The sequence below is a fragment of the Homo sapiens genome, chromosome 16 (genome assembly GCF_000001405.40).
Source record: "Homo sapiens chromosome 16, GRCh38.p14 Primary Assembly".
NCBI lineage: Eukaryota > Metazoa > Chordata > Mammalia > Primates > Hominidae > Homo > Homo sapiens.
Window position 1 is genome coordinate 54,939,233 of NC_000016.10, and position 9,744 is coordinate 54,948,976.

General features: G+C 46.6%; 1 annotated feature.

Moving 5' to 3' along the window:
- Nucleotides 174–736: an enhancer, noted in NCBI's record as "H3K4me1 hESC enhancer chr16:54973318-54973880 (GRCh37/hg19 assembly coordinates)". NCBI's record gives its function as "activates a minimal SCP1, AML or CMV promoter by ChIP-STARR-seq in naive H9 embryonic stem cells {active_cell/tissue: H9 hESC(naive)}" and the evidence as "EXISTENCE:reporter gene assay evidence [ECO:0000049][PMID:30033119]".

The window sequence follows — 9,744 nt, forward strand, 5'->3', positions numbered from 1 at the left end:
ATTGGAGGTTTCAGAAAAAGACGCGAGGGCCGTGAAAAAGACCAGGTGCGACCCTCCAGCCCCCAGGGTCCTGCGGAGCCGCCCTCGAGAAGGAAGGACCCCCTCCTCTGTTCCCACAAGGCCCTCTTTTGGAGTATGAGATTTCTTTCAGAATCAGCTGGAAGACATGGATTAACCTCTTTTCTCCCAAATAATGTAGGAACACAATACACAGAGCACTTAAGTCATTGCAAGGGGTCGCGGAACCCCGAAAACCAAACATTAGGAGAAAGGGGTGCCTGGCTCTTGCCTCCCCGGGGCGGGAGTTCGAACCTCAAGGCCAGAGCATCCTCCTTCCCTGCAAGTTTGTTTTCCAATTTGGGGTCTTGGTTTTTCGTTCCTGCAGTTTCTCTCATGTTCAGAAGGGCTGCGGAGGAAGTCGGGATGGGCTAGGGCGAGAGACCTGATGAAACAACCTGCCGAGAATGGGTACACAGCAGTCGGTGGTGAGGGGCGCCCTAGGCTGAGACACTGTGGGCTGGATGGCTGGACTGGCGAGGTTGGGAAGGGCTGTGTGGGAGGAGGCCAGGCCGGGCAGGGCGTCCCGGCCACGCCCCGTCCCCAACGCGCTGATGGATCGGCTTGTCAGGAGAGCTCTGTGCGCGGAGCCCATCAGAAAGCACTTACCTCGCTAAACTGAAATTACTGTCTTTTCAGGGGCTAATTTGTGTAACTCCCATGGAGGGGCTTGGAGGGGGTTTGATGAGGCATAAAATGATGATTAATGAATTTATTGGCCGCTGCTCATCAAACAAGGACTGGAGAGTTCGCGTCTGCACCCGCGGCCTGGCGGCGGTGCTCAACACAACTGGGGTTCAGTCTCCAGGGGCTCAGCGCCTGCTTGAGTTTCCCCAAGTGCCCGGTCCTGAGTGCTTTCCTTAGCTGCTTCCTGCTGGCGGTCTCCCCCACAACCCCATCCTAATTCGGGGCACAGGCTCTAGCTGCCGCCATCGCCCCCTGCGAACCAGCTGTCCAGGCCTGCGGGGAGGTCGGCTGCAGGCCCATGGGGACAATGGCTTCTCCAGGACTGAGTGTGACTGTGGCACCCGAGGCAGCCTAGAGCTGGGGGACTGGAGTTGCCTTCCCAAAATGTTATAGTTTACCGGGTTGGTACTTGGGCCTTCGTGGCTCAGCCCTGCCTCTGCAACTTACTAGCTATGTGTCCTTGGACAGATCCAATACCCAATCTGAGCCTCAGTGTCCTCATCTGTGAAATGGGGCTTTACCACTCCTGGCTTTGTGAGGATTCAAGTGCACGGCACATGGCTATCCTTCAATATGGTTATTAAAGTCATGCTATTTTAAGACTTCAGTTCACTGGAGATGCTAGCTAAGGCCTGGGAATAAACAGAGGGTGGGAGACAGAGGCTTGGGTTGTGACTTGAGGGAGAGAGAATCCTGCCTGAATGGCTGATCTTTCTCAGCACTTGCCTCCACCTTCCCAGCTTTCCTGGCTGGGGCTTGATAACTGGGACAGTGAGGGAGACTGGAAGGCAGTTTGACCAGGGAGTGACCTGCTCAGAGTTGAGCTTTCTGGAGCTGACTGGAGCTGCTACGTGGCTTGTTTACATGGCAGAATCTACTTTCAGGTTAGTCTGCTGGACAGTTCAGAACTTCTTCTTCTCATAACCCACCCTTCGTCTGCAGGCTCCTGTCTTTTGGAATCTGTCCACAAGGACCTTTTGGCTATTTCTGCTGGTTTTAATCAAGAACCTGCAACCCATGAACTTACAATTTCAACTTGGATTATTTTCTCCAATTGAATCACCTCCCCTGCCTACCTCACACCACCTCACTCTGTCCGTCCCAGATCTCCCAACAGCGGACTTCTCCCTTGCCTTCCCAGGACATCCCGTGTTCCTGCAACAGAAGACAGGAAAGACCTTGACATTGACCTCTCTAGTGGAATGCCTATCCTAGTCTCTGTGTTAGTACAGCCCCATTTAAACTCTTCCCTTCCCTTACTCTAACCACTGTCAGTTAAGCACCCATAATATACCAGATGTACTGTTCTAGTCATTGGTGATGCAGCAATGAACAAAACAAAGTCCCTGCCTTCCAACACTTTAGAGAATATGACAGAAAATAAACAAATGAGTGAGATAATGACTTATTGCCATGTCCAGGTGATGAGAGTTATGAGAAAAATTTAGTAGGGTAAGGGGTTAGTGAGGGCAGTCTGGGAACCCTCTCTTAGGAAGCTCTCTTAGGTGTTTGCACAAAGACCTGAAAGAAGTTAGGGAACAGGCCATGCAGATATTTGCAGGAAGAGAGTGCCAGGCAGAAGGAAGGGCAAATGCAAGGATCCTGCAGTGGGAGCAGGGTTTGATCAGCAAGGAGATCTTTGTGGAAGGGGAAGAAGCCTAGGTAAAGCTAGGGTCAGGTTATATGGGACCTTGTAGGTCCTGGTGGGATATTTGGGATTTATGAGAGAGGGAGAAAAGGAGGAAGTGTGGGAGGATTTTGAGGGGAGTAACAAGATCTAACTTATGGGTTTTTTGTTTTTTTCTGTTTTGTTTTTGGTGTTTTTTGTGGGTTTTTTTTTTTTTTTTTTTTTGACAGAGTCTCACTCTGTCGCCCAGGCTGGAGCGCAGTGACACGATCTCGGTCACTGCAACCTCTGCCTCCCAGATTCAAGCGATTCTCCTGCCTCAGCCTCCTGAGAAGCTGAAACTATAGGCACATGCCACCATGCCTGGCTAATTTTTTATATTTTTAGTAGAGACAGGTTTCACCATGTTACCCAGGTTGGTCTCCTGACCTCACGATCTGCCCGTCTCGGCCTCCCAAAGTGCTGGGATTACAGGCCTGAGCCACTGTGCCCGGCCCAACAAGATCTAATTTATGTTTTAAATGCATCTCTAGGGTGTGAGAGCTGAAAGTCTGGTAGGACAAGAGTGCAAGTAGGAAACAGTTAGGAGGCCAATGGAGAATTCAGGGGGAGGGAATGTTGCTTTGCACCAACCTCTACTTGGTGGTACCCAGAGAGACGGGGAGAAGTGCTCAGGTTTGGGCTATATTTTGAAGGCAGAGTCAACAGGCTTTACTGATGATGGATTGTATATGGGCCAAGAGAGAAGAGCAGAGAATGCTGGATGCCTCTAAGGATTTGGGCCTGAGTCCCCAGGATAATAGGGGGTGTCATTTGCTGGTATGCCTAACATTAAGGGAGGTGCAGGGATTTTTTTTTCCCCAGAAAGAGGGTAAGTAAAATACTCATTGCCCTGACCCTCAAGCCATTGGGCCAAAAGGAGCTGCTTTTGTGGACACGTGAGGCATCTAGTGGCAAAGCACTCAAATGCCCAAGGCAGATGCACAAGTCCAGGGAAAACTCAACAGATCCTCTCTCCTGAAACCATAGACCTTACAGTTCTTTGACCACATCTCCCATTTCTTTTCTTTTTTTCCTTTAAAAAATAACCTATCTATCCATCCTCTCTCTTTCTCTCTCTCTCTCTCTCTTTCTCTCTCCCTCTCTCTCTCTCTCTCTCTCTATTTCTCTAGTAAAGATGGGGTTTCACTGTGTTGCCCAGACTGGTCTTGAACTCCTGGACTCAAGCCATCCTCCTGCCTCAGCCTCTCAAAGTGCTAGGATTCCAGGTGTGAGACACCGCACCCTGGCCTCCCTGTTTATTTCTTTTCTCCTTACCAGTGGAGAAACTAAGACTGAGGAAATGAAAATGATTTCTCCAAGCTCATGCCATGGGTTTAGAGACAGGGATGGATCCAAAACCCAAGTCTCCTAACTCCTAGGCCTGCATTTTTCCCTGCCTCATCCAAACTAAGTTCTCTGGGATATCTGTATTTTAACAGAGAACTCCTGGAAACAAAATGCTTTAACAGAGAGGAATGAATTTATAATGGCGGAATCTCAGACACCGTGACAGGCTGTCAAGGGAGATATATTTAGGCTGGGCTGGGAAACATCTTAGCCCTCCTCAGACACTGCTGGAGGATGACTGCCTCCTCAGGACTCCATGTATGAAGTACAGATGAAGAAAAAGCTTGGGATGTGTCGTCTCTCCCAGAGACTCAACAACGAGGAGGAACTGGGGCCATTTCGCCTACCAGGGAGTGTTTTCTTTCCTAAACAATTGCTGTTTGAAAGGATTTACTCATTTCTTCTGTTTGAAGTGACATCTGCCTGCCCACAATTATCCCATGTGATGCCAGCAAAAATTAATGTTCCTTTGCCCATCATTTCACAGCAACTCCTATCAAAGACAGATTGGAGTTGGGGGCAAGGCCCCCCATCATGGGTCCTTCATGCATTTATTTTGAATTTTTTTTTTCTGACATTTCAGCTTCACTGTTTTTTTTTCAATCCTTTACTTGACTTGGGGATTTTGTTTTGTTTTATTTTTTTTTCTGTAAATGATCGGTAGCTTTGTCCCCAAGGGAATCCACAGGCCCTTAGAAACAGCATCTCAACATCTTTCAAGCAGAGTGAGACATCTGTTATCCCTAGATTCCAAATCCCTTCACCGTTCCAGAATGTTCCAGACACCTTCCCAACTAACATGGTTTGACATCAGACACCACATAGTTGTTTCTGAGGCTTTTTTTAAGATCCAAACCACAAGATTTTCTGTTTGTTTGTTTGTTTTGTTTGCCCTCTATTTGTATCCAGTATCTAAGTCCAAACCCTGTGTAATAGGTGTCTTTTTTTCCAAATACTCATCTATGAAAGATATTCATTGGTCGCTGAGGACCAATTTTCCTGGATCACATAAAAGAGAAGATTAGTGGCAACGTGGGGAAAAGGGCTCATTTGGAATAAATACCACCTCTTTGCTCTTGTGAAGAGTGTGGCAGAAAAGTCATTGGCCTGGTTTATTTTGGTTGGTGGAGTTGTTTTTCTTTCTGGTTTTTTTTTTCTTTTTAATTTTCCCTTTCAATCTGACTAAGGCCTGACAAGTTCTAGAGCATGTAGGAGGAGCATCTGGGGCCCCACAGGGCTGGGGACTAGAAGGAACCAGAGCCCTGTACTCCATGCTCTTCAAACTCACTCATTCCAGGGCTGGAATGAGTGCAATTTCTATTTTGATTACTATTTAGAAAATAATTTCCTTCCAATTCTTTCATGATTTGCTTATTTAGGAATATTTATAATGCTACTGAAACTGAAACAGAAGACCCTTATAAAAAAATTAATTCAGTGAAATTATTGGCCCCATGTGTTTGAAAGTGACTAAAGTTTCTCAGGGTCTCTGATTGCTTCTAGAGGCTTCCCCTCACCCTGTTCTTTCTTCTTTGCAGGCTGCCCTCAAAGTTATATGGGCTGCATGAGTATCTCTTCATCCCCACCTAAAATCATGTCATGTCTTTCCAGAGATGTACTTACTACACTTTGGAAAATAGCAACTGCTTATTTTACAGATATGGAAACTGAAGTCCTGTGAGGTAAAGCAGCTTACTCAAGATCAGTCAGCTGGTTGGGGACAGAGCCAGGGGTGTCTGCCTTCCCTTCCCCACCCTGCTCCCCCGACTTCCTCATCGGTTCCCTCTGGGAGCTCTTTCTTATCAAACCCCTTGCACTGGAATCCTCATCTCAAATGTGGTTCTAGGGTGCAGGACTCAAACGGGAGGGGCCTTGCAAACCCGTGAGATTTCAATGCTTCTGTCCCACTGGTCCTGCAATACCTGAACCCTTTTTTCCTGTCTGTGGGTCACTCTTTGGGGGTAAAAGGCCAAGACCAACAACCAAATATGCTCTTTGACATCATAAAAATCCCTGGCCCTTCTTTTCTTCTGCAGGGACAGGAGAGGTGGCCAGAGTTTGCACCTGTGAGAAAGCACAGCGGGGTGGGGAGTTGGGGTTCTCAGGTAACGTCGCAGTGAAGGGGTAGATGTCATCTTCCATCCAGAAGTTTCTGCCCCAGGAGCCCCTCGTGTCCTCTTTCTCCAGTTACTCACAAATGGGGTTTCTCATCCCAGTCCCCTCCTTCCTAAAGCCAACCACAGTGACATGTGGTAATTTTTGAGTGTCAACAAGTGGGGGCTTTGGGCTCCCAGCTGTAATGTCACTCAAAGGCAACGCCCACTAGCTTGTCCCTTTTCCCTTCTTTTCTCCTCGGGTTGGGGATCAGATAGGCCCTCCCCTACCTGCCCTGGAAGATCAGCCATGCCCCTCAGTGCTGCTACCGCCCACCTGGCTTAGCACCCACTCCTGCCTCTCACCCTTGCTCTAAGCCACACATCGACTAGCTGAATATATACAGGTTGGGCATCCTTAACCTGAAAATCCGAAATCCAAAATGCTCCAAATTTCAAAACTTTTTGAGTGCTGACATGATACTGGGTGAAATATTTCACACCTGACCTCACGAGACAGGCCACAGTCAAAACATGGGTAAACAACACATGGTGTATTCAGTGTCCCCAAGGGAAAAATAAAATTATCTTCAGGATGTGTATATAAGGTGTATATTAAATATAAGTGAATTACATGTTTAGATGTGGGTCCCCAAGATATCTAATTATATATTTTCCAATATTCCAAAATCCCCCCAAAATGCAAAATACAAAACACTTCTGATCTCAAGCATTTTGGATAAGGGATACTCAACCTGTATCTGCAACTAGAAGGACCACATGCAACTCAATGTCAAAATGCCCCAAACTGAAGTTAAGCCCTCCCCATTCCTCCCCTTAGCCCTAGGTTCATATCAGCTTCTCCCCATGTCCTGCACCCAGTCACCCAGTGGAGGGAATGTAGAAACCTCCTGGCGCCTCTCTTTCCCTCCCTTCCATACTCTAATTGGAGCCTTTGTCCTCTGTTGCATGGACTGTCACATATCTCTGGAGTGTCTACCTGCCCTTATCAGCTTTGTACCACTTACACGAAGCCTAAAGCCTGGTGTGTCCTGAGTATTCAAGAAATGCAGATGGAAATGAAAACAAATGAATGAATCCTAAGCCAATGTATTTGAACTTTCCTATACAATTTCCCTATGAATTTTGAAAGCAAGCTGGTGTCAGACAGATGTGGGTTCAAATCCTGACGGCCCTCTGTTATTTGGAGTATATTAGTGAGCTAGACTAAATGCTCATGGAATCTAGACAGAGATGCCCAGGACATGTGGGGAGTGAGAAGGTGAGCTCCAGAGTATGCATGCCTGTGTTCCATTCCAGTTTGTGACATGTGCCAGCTGTGGAATCCCAGGTAAGTTCTTTCATCCCTCTGAGCCTCAGTGTTCTCATCTGTAAGATGGAGATAATAACAGTATCCGGCTCAGAGGGCAAATGAGATAGTGCCTGCCAAGCCCACCAAAGCACATTGTCGACAATCAATAAATGGAAGCTGGGCCAGGCATGGTGGCTCACACCTGTAATCCCAGCACTTTGAAAGGTCGAGGTGGGTGGATGGCTTGAGCTCAGGAGTTTGAGACCAGCCTGGGCAACATGAGAAAACCCCATCTCTACTAAAAATACAAGAATTAGCCAGGCGTGGTGGCGCACGCCTGTAATTCCAGCCACTGAGGAGGCTGAGGCACGAGAATCGCTTGAACCAGGGAGGTGGAAGTTGCAGTGAGCCAAGACCGCACCATTGCCAGCCTGGGTGACAGAGCAAGACTGTCTCAAAACAAAACACAAAAACAAAATAAATGGAAGCTGTAGCCATTATTACTTGATAAATATTGCTTCATGTTATTGAAGATGACTTCATCTGAGAATTTCTAAAATTGCGTAGTGTGTTTTCTTCAGTTCTTAACTGCTTCACATGTTTTTGCTGACCAGCAATGTTTAAGGTGTCTAGAGTTAAAAAAAAAAAAAAAAAAAAAAAGCTTATTTAAGAATCATGCCTCGGAACATTATTTCATTACTTAAACTTGCTGCTGACTCATCTGTCCCTTGGTAACTGAGTCTTTCTTTACCAATAACTTTAATTACATCAATCACTCATTTCAAAAACTGCTGAATAATGAGAACTCCTAGAGGTGACACCATGGACTTCTGTCACACAAGCAGGGACTTGTGGAAGGGGAACAGGTTTTTCTTTTCTTTTTTAATAGCATTCAGTACTTCAAACGGGGAAAATACATTCAGTCTTCATTATTTACTTTCTGTCTATCTATCTATAATTAGCAATCTTCATAGCAGGGGAAAATGACAATTCATAACTTCTTGAACTGAATTGAATTTGTTTCATCTTCTGACATTTCTGAGTCATAAGGCCCAAGTCTCTGCCTCTGGGGTAAAATAAATGTTTGATAATTCTAGCACCAATTCCTTTGCTAAAAGCTGCTAATTACATAGTTTATGATTTAACATATTACCTAAACAATTATCTTGTCATTAATAACAATAGCTACCTTATTAAGCTCTTAGTATATGCCAGTTATTGCATTGAAGCTTTTATGTACATGATCTCAGCAGAATCTCATCAAACCCTATAGAGTAGGTGCAATTATTATCCCCATTTTACAGCTGAAGAAACTAAAACATTGCAAGATTAACTTGCCTAAGTAGGTGTCAGAGTAAGAGATGTGTGTAGGAATGTCTGTCTCTCTTTCTGTGCCTAGACGCAACCAGGAGAGAGCTGCTGGCTGTTCTTTGCTGCTATAGGCATTAAATGCTTTTCTGGCTATTCATGGCTCAGTTCTACTGTGAGTTGAATAAGGTACCTGCTATTTGCTGAGCTTGAAATGCTATCAGACTGCAGGGAAGCGGTACTCCTCAATGTGGTGAGAGGAGGAGGTGGATGCCTAGGCTGGGCATCTCTCAAAACCCTGCCCCGGAGCACACAGTCTTCCTTCCTCCTCTCCAAGCCCTTGTACCCTGGCTCCTGGACTGTGACATCGGACTCCCACTAGGTCTCTCTGACTCCAGACTCTCCCTGCATCTTTTCATCTGCATACTCTTCCCTTATTAGCCAGGAGACAATGGAGCTATGGAAGGTTGTGGAGCAGGAGAGTGACTAAATCAAAGCTGCCCTTCAAAAAGAGTAAAGTCAGGCCAGCCACGGTGGCTCACACCTCTAATCCCAGCACTTTGGGTGGTTGAGGTGGGCAGATCACTTGAGGTCAGGAGTTCAAGACTAGCCTGGCCAACATGGTGAAACCCTGTCTCTCTAAAAAAAATACAAAAGTTAGTTGGACGTGGTGGCAAGCGCCTGTAATCCCAGCTACTCAGGAGACTGAGGTGGGAGAATCGCTTGAACCTGGGAGGTGGAGGTTGTAGTGAGCCGAGATCACGCCACTGCACTCCAGCATGGGTGACAGAGTGAGACCTTGTCTCAAAAAACAAAAACAAAACCAACCAACCAAACAAACAAAAAACAAAAGGAATAAAGCGCGGCTCCTGTATCTGTCATTCAAAGCCCTTCTTCCATCTGACCCCACTCTCCTTGTAGCCTCATGTCCCCAGACTCTTCATGGGTATCTTGTGCTGAACAGCCCCTGCCCACACATTTTCTCAGGCTCTTCCTCTGCTTCAATGCCCTTCATCCAGGTCACATGTCTAAATCCACCTGCCCTTTTGAGATTCATCTTAAGCCCTTCTAGAGGTCTTCCTCAATGGCTCTAGCCCATAGTGCTTCTGCCGAGCCAGAGGCGATGTAATTTACGGGGTCTGGGGTCAGGGTAATCTGGGTTTGCATCTCACCTCTGCTACGTATCAGCTCTGTGACTTTGGGTAAGGGCTCAGCCTCTCAAAGCCTCAATTCCACAATAGTAAAGACGTGAATCTCTGTGTCCTGAAGCT